The sequence below is a fragment of the Homo sapiens genome, chromosome X (assembly GCF_000001405.40).
Source record: "Homo sapiens chromosome X, GRCh38.p14 Primary Assembly".
NCBI classification, from domain to species: Eukaryota; Metazoa; Chordata; class Mammalia; order Primates; family Hominidae; genus Homo; species Homo sapiens.
In genome coordinates this window covers 612,484-628,282 of record NC_000023.11, presented here as the reverse complement: position 1 = coordinate 628,282, position 15,799 = coordinate 612,484, and the positions used below count along the sequence as shown (strand labels likewise).

The 15,799-nt window shown below is 51.3% G+C and overlaps 1 protein-coding gene across 1 annotated transcript in view, besides 1 other annotated feature; it reads right to left on the bottom strand.

Annotated features, from left to right (window-relative positions):
* The window catches only part of SHOX (SHOX homeobox), a 35,068-nt gene extending 31,129 nt beyond the window's left edge, over window positions 1-3,939 (bottom strand). Inside the window, exon 1 of the mRNA NM_006883.2 lies at window positions 3,681-3,939. The gene's annotated coding sequence lies outside the window, so the exon portion shown is untranslated. The remainder of the gene's footprint in view (window positions 1-3,680) is intronic.
* Window positions 4,104-4,971: an enhancer, noted in NCBI's record as "OCT4-NANOG-H3K4me1 hESC enhancer chrY:534047-534914 (GRCh37/hg19 assembly coordinates)". NCBI's record gives its function as "activates a minimal SCP1, AML or CMV promoter by ChIP-STARR-seq in primed H9 embryonic stem cells {active_cell/tissue: H9 hESC(primed)}" and the evidence as "EXISTENCE:reporter gene assay evidence [ECO:0000049][PMID:30033119]".

Below are 15,799 nucleotides of genomic sequence, written 5' to 3'. Positions count from 1 at the left end.
AGACAGGGAGAGATGGAGAGAGAGAAAGGGAGAGACTGGGAGATGGAGAGAGAGAAAGAGCGACACGGACAGGGAGAGAGAGGGAGAGAGAAAGAGAGAAACGGAGAGACAGAGAGATGGAGAGAGAAAAAGAGAGACACAGATAGAGATACAGAGAGAGACAAAGAGAGGCAGAGACACAGAGAGGGAGACAGGGAGGGGGAAGAGAAAGAGGGAGAGAGGCAGAGACAGACAGAGAGGGAGATTCGGAGAAGGGTCTCTGGCTTAGAGCAACTTTCTGGGTCCTCAGAGGCCGGGTAACTTTTCTGCTTCTAAAGGCCTCCCCATCTCTGCCTCTGCTGGGAAACTGGGTCCCCAGGGACTGCGCCGTAAACCTCTCACAGCTGCTCACTGTCTCCCTACCGAAAACCCTCCGTCCTCCCAGCTCAGCTGTCTTCTCCAACCCCAAGGACCAGGCTTTCCTGGGGGGTCCCGTGAGGCCCAGGCTTTCCCCGACCTGAGGTTCCTTCTTGGGCCGCAATCTGGACCCCTTTGTCTAGTAGGAAACTCCGCTCTACCAGGGTGTCCGAGCCTCCAGGAATGAGCATGGGGACACCAGTCAGGAGCTGTGTGGCTATTCAAGGCCCCTCGGCCTCGGAGAAAAAGCAAAGGCCCTTTTTCAACTGAAGCCCCAATTGTAATTCTCACTGCAGACAAGTGGCTTTGAAATCACGCACGTCCGATTCATGGCACACTTTCTGCCTTTCCAACACCCCGCTTTTCCTAAGAGTTTCTGGCTACGCGAAAGAGATCTCATCTTTCTGTAAAACTCCAACTCTTCCTGTGGGATGAGCACGGAGGCGGCCTCACCCCTCTCACCTAAAGACCTTTCCCTTCTCTGACCAGAGCTTTTACGTTCTCTCCCTGCCCTTCCCTTTAAAGACAGGCAGGAAACACCCAGCGTTTGAGTGCTTGATAACATGTTAGAAATCCAGACGAGAGCTTTTTCTACCCCACACGTTTTTCGTTGCCAATTCAAGACGCTGTCCGAGAGGCCGCAGCTCCAGTCTGCAGAGTGGGTGGACTGTATGAAATGTTTTGCATTGACATTTTACAGCAGGCGGCTGCAGGCAGAAAGCAGGGTCTGCACCTCTCTTGGCCTGGGCTGTGTACAAGGGGGTGCTTGTTGGAGGTTTTACTGATGCTTCCCTGAGACAGGGAGAGAGAGAAAAAGAGAGAGAGAGGAGAGAGGGAAAGAGTCACAGAGATAGAGAGACAGAAAGACAGAGAAAAAGAGACAGAGAGAGAGGAGAGAGAGAGAGACAGAGGTAGACAGAGATACAGACAGAGAGAGAAAAAGAGAGAGGAAAGAGAGACACAGGTAGAGACACAGAGAGAGACAGAGAAAAAGAGACAGAGAGGAGAGAGACAAAGAGAGACAGAGACAGACAGAGAGACAGAGACAGAAAAAGAGAGAGAGGAGAGAGAGAAAGAGAGACAGAGATAGAGATACAGAGACAGAGAAAAAGAGAGGAGAGAAAGAGAGACAGAGGTAGAGACACAGAGAGAGACAGAGAAAAAGAGACAGAGAGAGATGAGAGAGAGAAAGAGAGACAGAGATAGACAGAGATACAGAGACAGAGAAAAAGAGAGAGAGGAGAGAAAGAGAGACAGAGACAGAGATACAGAGAGAGGAGAGAAAGAGAGACAGAGACAGACAGAGATACAGACAGAGACAGAGAAAAAGAGGAGAGAGAGAGACAGAGGTAGAGACACAGAGAGAGACAGAGAAAAAGAGACAGAGAGAGAGGAGAGAGAGAAAGAGAGACAGAGATAGACAGAGATACAGAGAAAGAGAAAAAGAGAGAGAGGAACGAAGACAGAGAGAAAGAGAGACAGAGATAGAGATACAGACAGAGACAGAGAAAGAGAGAGAGGAGAGAGAGAGACAGAGATAGACAGAGATACAGACAGAGACAGAGAAAAAGAGAGGAGAGAGAGAGACAGAGGTAGAGACACAGAGAGAGACAGAGAAAAAGAGACAGAGAGAGAGGAGAGAGAGAAAGAGAGACAGAGATAGAGATACAGAGAAAGAGAAAAAGAGAGAGAGGAACGAAGACAGAGAGAAAGAGAGACAGAGATAGAGATACAGACAGAGACAGAGAAAGAGAGAGAGGAGAGAGAGAGACAGAGATAGACAGAGATACAGACAGAGACAGAGAAAAAGAGAGGAGAGAGAGAGACAGAGGTAGAGACACAGAGAGAGACAGAGAAAAAGAGACAGAGAGGAGAGAGAGAAAGAGAGACAGAGATAGACAGAGATACAGAGAAAGAGAAAAAGAGAGAGAGGAACGAAGACAGAGAGAAAGAGAGACAGAGATAGAGATACAGACAGAGACAGAGAAAGAGAGAGAGGAGAGAGAGAAAGAGAGACAGAGATAGACAGAGATACAGAGACAGAGAAAAAGAGAGGAGAGAAAGAGAGACAGAGACAGAGACACAGAGAGAGGAGAGAAAGAGAGACAGAGACAGACAGAGATACAGACAGAGACAGAGAAAAAGAGACAGAGAGAGAGGAGAGAGAGAGACAGAGATAGAAAGAGAGACAGAGGAAGAGAGAAAAAAAGAGAGAGAGGAACGAAGACAGAGAGAAAGAGAGACAGAGATAGAGATACAGACAGAGACAGAGAAAAAGAGAGAGAGGAGAGAGAGAAAGAGAGACAGAGATGGACAGAGATACAGAGAGACAGAGGAGAGAAAGAGAGAGACAGAGATACAGAGATAGACAGAGAAAAATAGCGACAGACAGGGGACAGAGAGACAGACAGAGAGAGACAGCGAGAGAGAGAAGAGAGCAGCACACCAAGCCGATGAGAAGAGACTTTTCACCGTGTCTTGTTAGCGTATGTGACCGCCTCCCTGTATGAAATGCCTTTTGCCAAGCGTCCCAAAAGAATCAGGTTTCAGAGAAGTTAGTGGATGGACAAAAACAACGACTGCGAATAAAAACGCAAAGGGGAAAGAGACAAATGGCAGAGGGAAGAGGAGGAAAAGGAGTAGAAGGAGGAGGAGGAGGGAGAAGGAGGAGGAGGAGGAGGAGAAGGAGGAGGAGGAGGGACGATGAAGGGGGAGGATGGGGGAAGGAAGAGGAAAGAAATGAAAGAGAAAGAAAAAAGAAAGAGAAAGAAAGAAAGAAGAAAGAAAGGGAAGGAGGGAGGGAGGGAGAGAAGGAGGGAGGGAGGGAGGAAGGAACAGAGGGAGGAAAGGAAAGGAGGGAGGGAGAGAAGGAAGGAAGGAGGGAAGGAAGGAAAAAGCTTTCTGGAAAAGAAAAGGAAAGCTCCAAAAGCAATCTTGCCAAGTGAAAGAAAGAAAAGAAAGAAAGAAAGAAAGAAAGGAAGAGAGAAAGAAAGAAAGAAAGAAAGAAAGAAAGAAAGAAAGAAAAGAAAGAAAGAGGAAGAGAGGAAGGAAGGAAGGAAAGAACGAAGGAAGGAAAGAAGGCAAAGCTTTCTGGAAAAGAAAAGGAAAGCTCCAAAACCAATCTTGCCAAGTGAAAGGAAGAAAGAAAAGAAAGAAAGAAAGAAAGAAAGAAAGAAAGAAAGAAAAGAAAGAGGAAGAGAGGAAGGAAGGAAGGAAGGAACGAAGAAAGGAAAGAAGGCAAAGCTTTCTGGAAAAGAAAAGGAAAGTTCCAAAACCGAGCTCACCAAGCTCTGAGCGCAGGCCCCGAGCGCGCCCCGGAGGTTCATTCGCGTCCTGGCGTCCCCAGCGCGGTCACCACCTCCCGCAAACCCTGTGCGGACTCGGGCTGCTGCGTCCTGGGCGTCTGATCCGCTCCTACCCGCCTGTCCACCCTCCCATTTCTGTTTGCAGTAGAAAGAGACGCGCGGAAACGAAATAAAACAAAACCAAAAAAAAAAAAAGTGTGGGGAGCCCCTGTTCTCAGGACCCGGGCAAAAGCAGGCGGCCGCAGGGTGACTCGAAGACCCCTATTGGCTCCTGGGGGCCCCCCAGGGACCTGCCCTGGTTGCATTGACCCCAATGCCCAGGGTGCTGACCCCTCGCGCGCGCGCGCCAGCCCCGCAGTCGCAAAGGAAAAGCGAATCTCCGGATCCGGGACAGCGCTCTCCGCGGTCCGCCCGCCGGGGCTGGGGGTCCCGCAGCAGACGAGCCAGGATCCCAGGGGCTTCTCCTCGCCTTTGCACCCCGTCATGCAGCCCACAGCAAGCCGGAGCCTCTTATCCCGGCCTGGTTCCCCCCTTCCCTGAATTCCTCCCCAACTCCCCGCAACAGGCCCGAAGCTGCGGGGAGCGCGGCAGGGCTGAGGCTGCAGAGGGTCCCGGAGTTCCTCGACCTGAACTCGGTCCCAGCAAGATTTGCTTCTTATTTCGCCCCTGGAGACGCAGGCGGGGCTGGGAAAAGCTCAGACACGCAGCTCAGGAGCTGCAGGACGCGGCCAGCCCCGGCCTCCCCGCCGTGCGTCTTGCTGGCTGGGAGCAGTTGCTGGTGGTGACGTTTCTCCCCTTCTCTTTTCTCTCCCCAGGGGCGGAAAAGAAACCAGAGAGGAGACTCAGTAGCTGCTGTATCTGTTGTAGGACCTTGGAGGCTGGAGGCTTGCGCTTGGGCGTCCAGGCGTCTCTCACTCCCGTCCCCAAGAAATCTATGGGGCAGCCATGCGTCCTGACCAGCGCTTTCTAGAACGCACCTGCTGGGGGGAAACTCGAGGAACGCGCTTAGGATGGCTGCGAAGAGGAAGGAACTCTGAGACTGGCCCACTTTATCAAATAATCTGGCTTTTTCTATGTGAATTAGGTACGTTTTAAGGAATAAGTCATTTGCTCTCTCTCTCTCTTCTCTCTGACTTTCTCTCTCTGTCTTTCTCTCGCTTTCTGTCTCTGTCTTCTCTCTCTCTTCTCTCTCTTTCTCTCTGTCTTCTCTCTGTCTTTTTCTCTCTCTCTGTCTTCTCTGTCTGTCTTTTTCTCTCTCTCTGTCTTCTCTGTCTGTCTTTTTCTCTCTCTCTGTCTTCTCTCTCTGACTTTTTCTCTCTCTCTGTCTTCTCTCTCTCTGTGTCTTTCTGTCTTCTCTCTCTCTTCTCTCTCTGTCTTCTCTCTCTTTCTCTCTCTCTCTGTCTTTCTCTCTCTCTTCTCGCTCTCTTTCTCTCTCTCTGTCTTCTCTCTCTCTGTCTTTCTCTCTCTCTTCTCGCTCTCTTTCTCTCTCTCTGTCTTCTCTCTCTCTGTCTTTCTCTCTCTCTTCTCTCTCTGTCTTTCTCTCGCTCTCTGTCTTTCTCTCTCTTCTCTCTCTGTCTTTCTCTCTCTCTCTTTCTCTCTCTTCTCTCTCTGTCTTTCTCTCTCTCTCTGTCTTCTCTGTCTCTCTTTCTATCTCTGTCCTCTCTCTCTCTGTCTTTCTCTTTCTCTCTCTCTTCTCTCTCTGTCTTCTCTCTCTCTCTTTCTCTCTCTCTCTGTCTTCTCTCTGTCTTTCTCTCTCTGTCTTCTCTCTGTCTTTCTCTCTCTTCTCTCTCTCTGTCTTTCTCTCTCTCTCTGTCTTCTCTGTCTTCTCTCTCTATCTTCTCTCTCTCTGTCTTTCTCTCTCTGTCTTCTCTCTGTCTTTCTCTCTCTCTCTGTCTTCTCTCTGTCTTTCTCTCTCTTCTCTCTCTCTGTCTTTCTCTCTCTCTCTCTGTCTTCTCTCTGTCTTCTCTCTCTCTATCTTCTCTTTCTCTGTCTTTCTCTCTCTCCTCTCTCTCTTTCTCTCTGTCTTCTCTCTTTCTCTCTCTTCTGTCTCTGTCTTTCTCTCTCTCCTCTCTCTCTTTCTCTCTGTCCTCTCTCTTCTCTCTCTTCTCTCTCTCTTTTCTCTCTCTTCTCTGTCTGTCTTCTCTCTCTCCTCTCTCTCTTCTCTCCTCTCTCTTTCTCTCTTCTCTCTCTCTGTCTTTCTGTCTTCTTTCTCTCTCTCTTCTCTTTTCTTTCTCTCTCTGTCTTCTCTCTCTCTCTCTGTCTTTCTCTCTCTCTCTTTCTCTCTGTCCTCTCTCTTCTCTCTGTCTTTTCTCTCTCTTCTCTGTCTCTGTCTTTCTGTCTTCTCTCTCTCTCTCTCTTCTCTTTTCTTTCTCTCTCTCCTTTCTCTCTCTCTGTCATTTGCAGCACCAAGGGGAATAGAAGCCGTGAACCTTCAAATACTGAACACTTGATTTCTTTAACTCCCGAAAAGTATGGCTTTGATTATATTTTTTCAGTTTTAGCTCCAACGAAGCTCCGCTCTCTGGAACCTGATGTATTTACTTTAAATCAAATTTCACGCCCAGAGCTCTTAATTGCAGAGAGGCATTTGTACGGGGCCCTCTGGGGCCTCCAGCCCTCCTGATGCAGAACCTAAGGCCCTCATCCCTTCCCCGCCCCCTACTCCACGCCCATCCCCACCGGAAAACTGGGACCTCCTCCTGGGTCCTCCAGCCAGGGAGGAAACACTTTTCTTTTTATTTTATTTATTTTATTTTATTTTATTTTATTTTATTTTATTTTATTTTATTTTATTTTATTTTATTAGACTTTAAGTTTTAGGGTACATGTGCACAACGTGCAGGTTAGTTACATACGTATACATGTGCCATGCTGGTCTGCTGCACCCAAGAACTCGTCATTGACGTTAGGTATATCTCCTACAGCTATTTCAAGAAATACCCCTTCCATGTGGCCCACTTTTTTTTTAAGCACATAATTCGAAAGGCCATTTCTATTCATGATAAGCACGGAAGGGTGGGTATTCATGGTCTCGGACCAAGGTTCGGCCCCTATAACAACCACCAACCCCTCCCCGCACATTAAATATGTATAAGGATGTATTTAGGGTTTCAGAATTTTACAGACGTCTCAACACGTTTCCTAGACGAACTCTTGTTGTTTTTTTTTTCCTTCCCCCTCCCCTTTTAAAGTCAGAAACCTGGATTTGTACTCCCTCCGACGCTGTTTATTGATTGACGCAAACATCCACGTTGCCCGCGTGAAGCTAATAGATTTTCATTAAAGTGAGGTTTGTCAGTCTGGCTCGTGAATGGCTGAGACTGATCCAGTGGACAAGGGCAACCTCTATAATATTTAAAAAGGGCACGTAGGCCCTGGTTGGTTTTTTCTTCTCTCTAGAGGCCTGGCTGACCATATGTGTCTAAGGACCTGCCTTGGGAATGTAGCTTTGTTTTTCTGTGGGGTTTTTTTTTTTCTATTTGTTTCATTTTATCTCGCTTTTTCTACAAGTCCTAGTACCTACGTGTGTGTGTGTGCAGGAGAGGGTGTCTCTAAAATACCCCACCATGCAAACTTGCAATTTTTAAAGTAAAACTTCCTAGGAGAAAACGTTGTTTGCTTTTTCTCAGGGACCTTCTGTGGAATTTGCTTCTCTCTCTCTCTCTCTCTCTCTCTCTCTCTCTCTCTCTTTTAAACCTTAGCATGTACTTTGCAACATATGGTGGGCATTAGACCTCTTTCCTTTCGGATTTAATCACAGGGCCTCTATGTTTTATTTAAGAAAACTCTTATTTGTTTAAGAAAAACGTTATGTTTTTCAGGGAGCAAAGGCCTTTGTCACGAAGAAGAAACCCAGCAAGGCCGTTTGCTGGAGGCCACCGCTGCACAAAGAAGGGGCGGCCCTCCCTCGCCAGGAATAAATTCAGCCCCCTTTCTGCGGTCATTCATGTTCTGAGGAACACATCTTGGAGGTGTATTTCGACTGTCATTTCCACTTCTGGCACGGGCCTCCGCAAGGGGACAGAAAAAGAACTGGTCCTTCCTTCCTCCTGCCCGTGCCCCAGACGCGGGATTCGCGTCCCCAGGACGCACCGGCTTAAGAAATTGGCAGGACTCCCAAACAGGCTCCCAGTCTTTGGCCACGTCTCTCCAACGTCAAAACGCAGATGAAAGGAACGAAGACCTCCACCGCGCAGAGCCAGGAAGAGGCACACTTTGCTTCCCAAGACTAGAAGCTTCGGCAGAACGCGAATGGCACCCAGGGGCGCGGCGGGGACACGGGGCCCCGAGCCTCCGGAGAGCGAGGAGCGCGCACAGGGCACCGTGCCTGGTTCACCGCCTTCCTCCCCGGCTGAGGCCTGAGGTGAGGACCTGACCCTTGGGTAGGGCCAGCCCTGGGGCGACCAGGCCTTGGACAGCCCAGAGCGCGCCTATCCACCTGCCCCAAGCCCCCAGAGGTTTCCCATCGCTCCCATCCCCCCAACTCCAAGGAACGGGAGGATTCCCTGAGGTGGGGACCTGACTCTTGGGTAGGGTCATCGCCGGGGAGACCAGGCCTTGGACAGCTCCGAGCGCGCGTGTCCACCTGCCCCGATCCCCCAGAGGTTTCTCATCGCCCCGACCCCTCCCACTCCAAGGAACGCGAGCATTGCCTGTCGGGTGGAATCAGCACCGCGCAGCCTCTCCATCCTTTCCCTTCCCCTTCCAGAAGCTGTGTCTTTGGAAACGTATTCCAGGACAGAAACTTTGCCTTCTCTAGGAGCAGGCAGGAATTAATGGCCTAATTTGTGCCGCAGACCTGGCCGCCTCCTCCCCATCCTCCTGCCTCCGGGGGCTGGCCTGGAACAGAACTTCCGCGGGGACAAGGCCCAAGTCCTGACCAAGCGCAGCTTCTGGAGAGACAGCTCGACCCCGCGGGTGAGCGCAGGGGTTCTGGGGCCCCCACGTGCCGGTCCTGGAACCCCCACCCCCACCCCTGCCCCAGGCTCCTGGGCGCTCCTGGACCAGCCCGCGAGGCCACGACCCTAGGGGTCCCCCACGGTGCCCGGACTGGGGGCGCTTATCCATGCTCAGGGCCTCGGTGGGTGGGTGGGTGGGGGCTCGCCTTGCGTCTCTCCGGGGAACCCTTCATCCCACCCTACTAATGAGGCGCCCGCGCTGACCGCCCAAGGCTGCCTGTTGGGGGGCCGGGGATGCGCCCCGGTCATGCCCTGCGCTCACTGGGGAACTTGACCCGCGGTGGCTGGGAAGGCGGGGAGCGCAGAGCGCGCGGGGTCTCCAGGCAGGAGCGTGCGGGGCAGGGATCTGGGGGAGGGATTTGGGGGAGGTCCGAGTGCAGCCGGGCTAATTGGGGAGCTCAGGCGCCGGCCCGGGCCGGAGTGCGGGGGAGGGGGCCCCGGGGCGAGGCAGGGGAGGGCGGTTTCCACCCGCAGCTCAGCCTCCTGGCCCGAGGCGAAGCTTGGGGCGAGAGACCTGAGCTCGACCGGGCTGGACTCTCGCCCGGAGCCCAGCTCTGCGCTCTGCGCACCGCCCCGCTCTTCTCCCCCGCAGCGCACGGGGCAGGGGGCGCACCCGGGGTAGGGGTGGGAGCAAGCGACAGCCCAGCCACCCCCACGCCCCCAGCCACGCAGGATAAACCACCCGGGCATGTCTGCTTCTGCAGGCGTGGGCAGGAGAGCTACTCTGTGCCACTGGCTGAGGGTCCCGGGGGATCTGAGCGGACAGCTGTCTGCACTGGTCACTCAGGGAGTCTAGCTCAGGGCACTTGTCCGCTCGCCGCAGCTAAGAAAGCCCTGAGGTGTGTGGGGAGATACTGCAGGCAGGGGACTGCCCTGGGTTCACTTCATTCCTTCATCCATTCATTCCTTCATCCATTCATCCATTCATCCATTCATCCATTCATCCATTCATCCATCCATTCATCCATTCATCCATTCATCCATCCATTCATCCATCCATTCATCCATTCATCCATCCATTCATCCATCCATCCATCCATTCATCCATCCATTCATCCATCCATCCATCCATTCATCCATCCATTCATCCATTCAGCCATCCATTCATCCATTCATCCATTCATTCATCCATTCATCCATCCATCCATCCATTCATCCATCCATTCATCCATTCATCCATCCATTCATCCATCCATTCATCCATTCAGCCATCCATTCATCCATTCATCCATTCATTCATTCATCCTTTCATCCATCCATTCATTCATTCATCCTTTCATCCATCCATTCATTCACCCATCCATTCATTCATTCATTATGCTGTGTGCCTGCTGGCCTCAGCTGTCATCCTACCACACCTGTTGAGGCTGCCTCCGTGACCCTGTAGCCCTGGGTCTGGCAGCGGGGAGGTGGGAGTGACTCCCACCCCTGTTTTCAGAGGAGTCACAGTTCCTGGGGTTTCAGGAGCTTGGCCAGGGGAGTTCTGAAACGCCCAGGGCCTTCCCAGCGGGTCTGGGGTCTGTGTGGGAGTCAGGAAGGCAGCTTTCCAGGTTGGGAGTGGGGCCCCTTGCACCAGGGCGCAGTAAGGTGTCTTTGGGGGACATGTTTTGGGGTCTCTAGGTCTCCGTGACTTCAGGGTGCAGCCAGGTTGGACCAGAAAGACTGGGGTCCCCCGTGTGGCCAGGTGATTTGGGGACTCTGGGTCTCCAAGGACGAGAGGTTCTTCTGCACACAGGCCACGATGCCCAGGGCTATGACAGCGTGGGTGTGTGGAGGGGACATGAGACATGAGAACGTAGGGGTCTGGAGGGGAGGTGACAACCTGGGGGTCCAGAGGGTACCTGACACCATTGCGGTCTGGAGGGAGACACCATCATTTTCACCCTCTGCAGCTTTTATTCTGCTCATTTGCTTTCCCAAAATCCTTTCTGCTGCAAAACGGGCTGCGGTGCTTTAGGAGGATCTGATCTCCCAGAGTGCTGGAGACATTCCTGTGTTCCCCGGAGGAAAAAGACTCACAGAGCTCTGAAGGCATCACTGCCCGCAGGCAGGCATCAGGATCAAGCCAGCTGTGAAAGGGTCCTGTTTGCAGATTCTGTGAGTGATTAAATAGTACCTGAGCCCTGTGGGGGATGGAATGACGCCAGCCCCCATCTCCCCACCCCCCTCAAAAAAAGAGATATCCAGACCCTCATCCCCGGAAGCTGTGACTGTCTTACTGTGGGGGCCAAGGGAGCTTTGCCCTTTGAAAGTTTGCTGAAAAATTAATTTGCAAAAGGCAGAAGAATAGGAGAGGTCAGGCGCGGTGGTTCACGCCTGCAATCCCAGCACTTTGGGAGGCCGAGGCGGGCGGATCACCTGAGGTCAGGAGTTCGAGACCAGCCTGGCCAACATGGTGAAACCCTGTCTCTACTAAAAATACAAAAATTAGCCAGGCGTGGTGGTGCGTGCCTGTAATCCCAGCTACTCGGAGGCTGAGGCAGTAGAATCACTTGAACCCGGGAGACAGACGTTGCAGTGAGCCAAGATCTCACCACTGCACTCCAGCCTGGGCGACAGAGCAAGACTCCGATTCAAAAAAAAAAAAAAAAAATAGAATAGGAGAAAACACATACACATTTATGTCACGTGTGTACACAGGAGGCTTCAAAAGGAAGACCCAAAGATAAAAGGGAAATTATCCATTTTTGTGCTTTGGTTTAACAAAGCCCTGTAGAAACAGGATTGCACAAAAAGGGCTTTGACCTAAGGCTAATGGACTAAGTGGGGAAACAGAGCCAGGCCTGTCTGTCTAGAATCTTCTCGGCCTCTCTGAGCGGCGTTCCTTTCTTTTAGGTGTGGGGCAGGGTCTTCTCTGAAATGGGGGTCGTAGGACCTTCAGTCAAACAATGTATGTCAGCGAATTTCCTTATGACCGGTTTTTATACAGATACGGTAGAGGGAAAGTTAGAGTCTTATTTTTGGGTTTTATGGCTGGTTTTGGGGAAAAGGGGCTCCTGTATCTAGGATCCATATGGGGGAAGAGGAATTCTTGTTTCTCTGGTGTCTTTGGGGGAAAACAGCTCCTGTTTCTTTCTTTTTTTTGAGACTGACTCTTGCTCAGTCGCCCAGGCTGGAGTGCAGTGGTGTGATCCTGGCTCACTGCAACCTCCGCCTCCCGGGTTCAAGCGATCCTCCTGCCTCAGCCTCCCGAGTAGCTGGGATTACAGGTGCTCACCAACACGCCTGGCTATTTTTTCTATTTTTGGTAGAGACGGGGTTTCACCATGTTGGCCAGTCTGGTCTCGACCTCGTGACCTCAGGTGATCTGCCCGCCTCAGCCTCCCAAAGTGCTGGGATTACAGGTGTGAGCCACCGCGCCCGGCTTGGGGGCTCCTGTTTCTAGGACCCATGTTGAGGAAGATGGATTCTAGTTTTTCTGATGTCTTTGGGGGAAAAGGGCTCCTGTTTCTTTTTCTTTCTTTCTTTCTCTTTTTTTTTTTTTTTTTTTTTTTTTTTTTTTTTTTGAGACTGAGTCTTGCTCTGTCACCCAGGCTGGAGTGCAGTGGCATGATCTTGGCTCACTGCAAACTCCGCCTCCCGAGTTCAAGCGATTCTCCTGCCTCAGCCTCCCCGGTAGCTGGGATGACAGGTGTCCGCCATCACGCCCGGGAGTTTTTGTATTTTTACTAGAGACAGGGTTTCAGCATGTTGGCCAGGCTGGTCTCGAACTCCTGACCTCAGGTGATCTGCCCTCCTTGGTCTGCCAAAGTGCTGGGATGACAGGTGTGAGCCACCGTGCCCGGCTTGGGGGCTCCTCTTTCTAGGACCCATGTTGGGGAAGAGGGATTCTAGTTTCTATGGTGTCTTTGGGGAAAAAGAGCTCCCGTTTCTTTTTTTTTTTGAGACTGAATCTTGCTGCATCACCCAGGCTGGAGAGCAGTGGCACAATCTCGGCTCACTGCAACCTCTGCCTTCCAAGTTCAAGCGATTCTCCTGCCTCAGCCTCCCCAGTAGCTGGGATGACAGGTGCCTGCCACCACGCCTGGGAGTTTTTGTATTTTTACTACAGACAGGGTTTCACAATGTTGACCAGGCTGGTCTTGAACTCCTGACCTCAGGTGATCCACCTGCCTTGGTCTGCCAAAGTGCTGGGATTACAGGTGTGAGCCACGGCGCCTGGCTTGGGGGCTCCTGTTTCTAGAACCCCTGTTGGGGAAGATGGATTCTAGTTTTTCTGGTGTCTTTGGGGAAAAAGGGCTCCTGTTTCTTTTTTTTCTTTCTTTCTTTCTCTTTTTTTTTTTTTTTTTTTTGAGACTGAGTCTTGCTCTGTCACCCAGGCTGGAGTGCAGTGGCACGATCTTGGCTCACTGCAAACTCTGCCTCCCGAGTTCAAGTGATTCTCCTGCCTCAGCCTCCCGAGTAGCTGGGATTACAGGCATGAGCCACCGTGCCCGGCTTGGGGGCTCCTGTTTCTAGGACCCATGTTGGGGAAGAGGGATTCTAGTTTCTATGATGTCTTTGGGGGAAAAGAGTTCCTGTTTCTTTTTTTTTTTTTTTTTTTTGGAGACTGAGTCTTGCTGCATCACCCAGGCTGGAGAGCAGTGGCACAATCTCGGCTCACTGCAACCTCCGCCTTCCAAGTTCAAGCGATTCTCCTGCCTCAGCCTCCCCGGTAGCTGGGATGACAGGTGCCTGCCACCACGCCTGGTAGTTTTTGTATTTTTACTAGAGACAGGGTTTCACCATGTTGACCAGGCTGGTCTCGAACTCCTGACCTCAGGTGATCCACCTGCCTTGGCCTCCCAAAGTGCTGGAATTACAGGTGTGAGCCACAGTGCCTGGCTTGGGGGGGTCCTGTTTCTAGGACCCGTGCTGGGGAAGAGGGATTCTAGTTTCTATGATGTCTTTGAGGAAAAGAAGTTCTGAATTCCAAGACCCATGTGGGGGGAAGAAAAATTCTAGTTTCTCTGGTGGTGTCTCAGAGGAGAATGGGACTGAGAGGCAGGAGGATAAGAGAAGGTCAAAGAGAGAAACATTTGCCTCTCAGGCTGCTGATAAAGCCTTCATTTAGGGTATCATTTTCTAAGCTTCAATATGACCTTGGATGGCAAAGGGGACTTTAAAGATGGGATTCAGTTTGCCAAACTTATCCAAGTGGGTCCAATCTAATCAGATGCGCTCTCCATAGCAAAGAACTTTCTGTGCCTGGAGTCAGAGAGACAAGGAGAAGACGGCATCAGGAGGGTTCCAAGCACAGAGAAACTCAGCCTGCCCTTGCTACAGGGGTCCCAGGTGGGGGCAGGAGAAGGACCATGAGCACCTCCAAGAGCAAAGCCAGGTCCTGCATTGGGAACCTCATTCCTGCAACCCCAAGGAACTGAGCTTGGGCAAATGACCTGCCTGAATGCGGACATGGACCATCTCTTAGGACCCTCAGTCAGAGCCTACTGCGTGGATCTCATAATTGTGGCCATAGAAGGCTCTGAGGAGGGGATGCAGCTGGCGACGCTGTGCCTGATGTCTGACTCACAGTGACCGTAGGATGATGAAGAGGTGCCGTTTGGAACCATTGCATTTAGGATCACTTTTTACAGCAGCAAGAAGAAACAGATCCACCCACTTAGACGAGCACCTGCTTGTCTTCCAGGCACACGAGAGGGAAATACAGAAGTACATTCTCTGTTCTCACCGAGTTCCCATCTTACTGGAGGACACAGCCAATCAGGAAATACATCAGTCGAAAATCAGATACAATCTCACAAGACGGTAAGTAGACTGAAAGGCTGGGAGTCTGACAGTGATTGGGGCTGGGTGAAGTGGCTCACGCCTGTAATCCCAGCACTTTGGGAGGCTGAGGTGGGAGGATCACTTGAGCCCAAGAGTTTAAGACCAGCCTATGCAATATAGTGGGACCCTCCTTCTCTACTAGAAATTAGCCAGGCATGGTGGTGTGCACCTGTGGCCCCAGATACTTGGAAGGCTGAGGTGGGAGGATTGCTTGAGCCCAGGAGTTTAAGACCAGCCTGGGCAACATAGGGAGACCCCCCCTTCTCTATTAAAAATTAACCAGGCTTGGTGGCATGCACCTGTGGTCCCAGCTACTCGGGAGGCTGAGGTGGGAGGATCACTTGAGCCCAAGAGTTTAAGACCAGCCTGTGCAATATAGTGAGACCCTCCCTCTCTACTAGAAATTAGCCAGGCATGGTGGTGTGCACCTGTGGTCCCAGCTACTTGGGAGGCTGAGGTGGGAAGATTGCTTGAGGCCAAGAGGTTGAGGCTTCAGTAAGCTGTGATTTCACCACTGCACACCAGCCTCGTTGACAGAGTGAGAGCCTGTCTCTAAATACAGAGAGAGAAAAAGTGAGAGAGAGAAAGAGAGATGGAGGGAGAGAGAAGGAGATGGGGTGCAGGAGCTGTTTAGAAGGAGCTGGGAGTCAAGGATATGATGGAATACTGCTCAGCCATAAAAAGGAACCAATTAATGGCATTTTTAGCAATCTGGATGGAACTGGAGACAATTATTCTAAGTAAAGTAACTCAGGAATGGAAAACCAAACATTGTACGTTTTCACTCATAAGTGGGCAAAGCATAAGAATGATACAATGGACTGGGCCGGGTGCAGTGGCTCATGCCTGTCATCTCAGTGCTTTGGGAGGCCAAGGTGGATGGATTATGGGGTCAGGAGATGGAGACCATCCTGGCTAACATGGTGAAACCCTGTCTCTACTAAAAATACAAAAAATTAGCCAGGCATGGTGGTGGGCACCTGTAATCCCAGCTACTCGGGAGGCTGAGGCAGGAGAATCACTTGAACCTGGCAGGTGGAGGTTGCAATGAGCCAAGATTGCACCACTGCACTCCAGCCTGGGCGACAGAGCGAGACTCTGTCTCAACAACAAAAGAATGATGCAATGGACTTTGGGGACTTGCAGTGAGCCAAGATCGCACCATTGCATTCCAGCCTGGGCAACAGATTGAGTGTCCATCTCAAAACAAAACAAAACAAAACAAGGATGCAATGGACTTTGGGGTCTTGGGGAAAAGAGTGGGAAGGGGGTGAGGGATAAAAGACTACAAATTGGGTTTGGTGTATACTGCTCAGGTGATGGGTGCCACAAAATCTCACCAGTCGCCACTAAAGAAATTACTCATGTCGG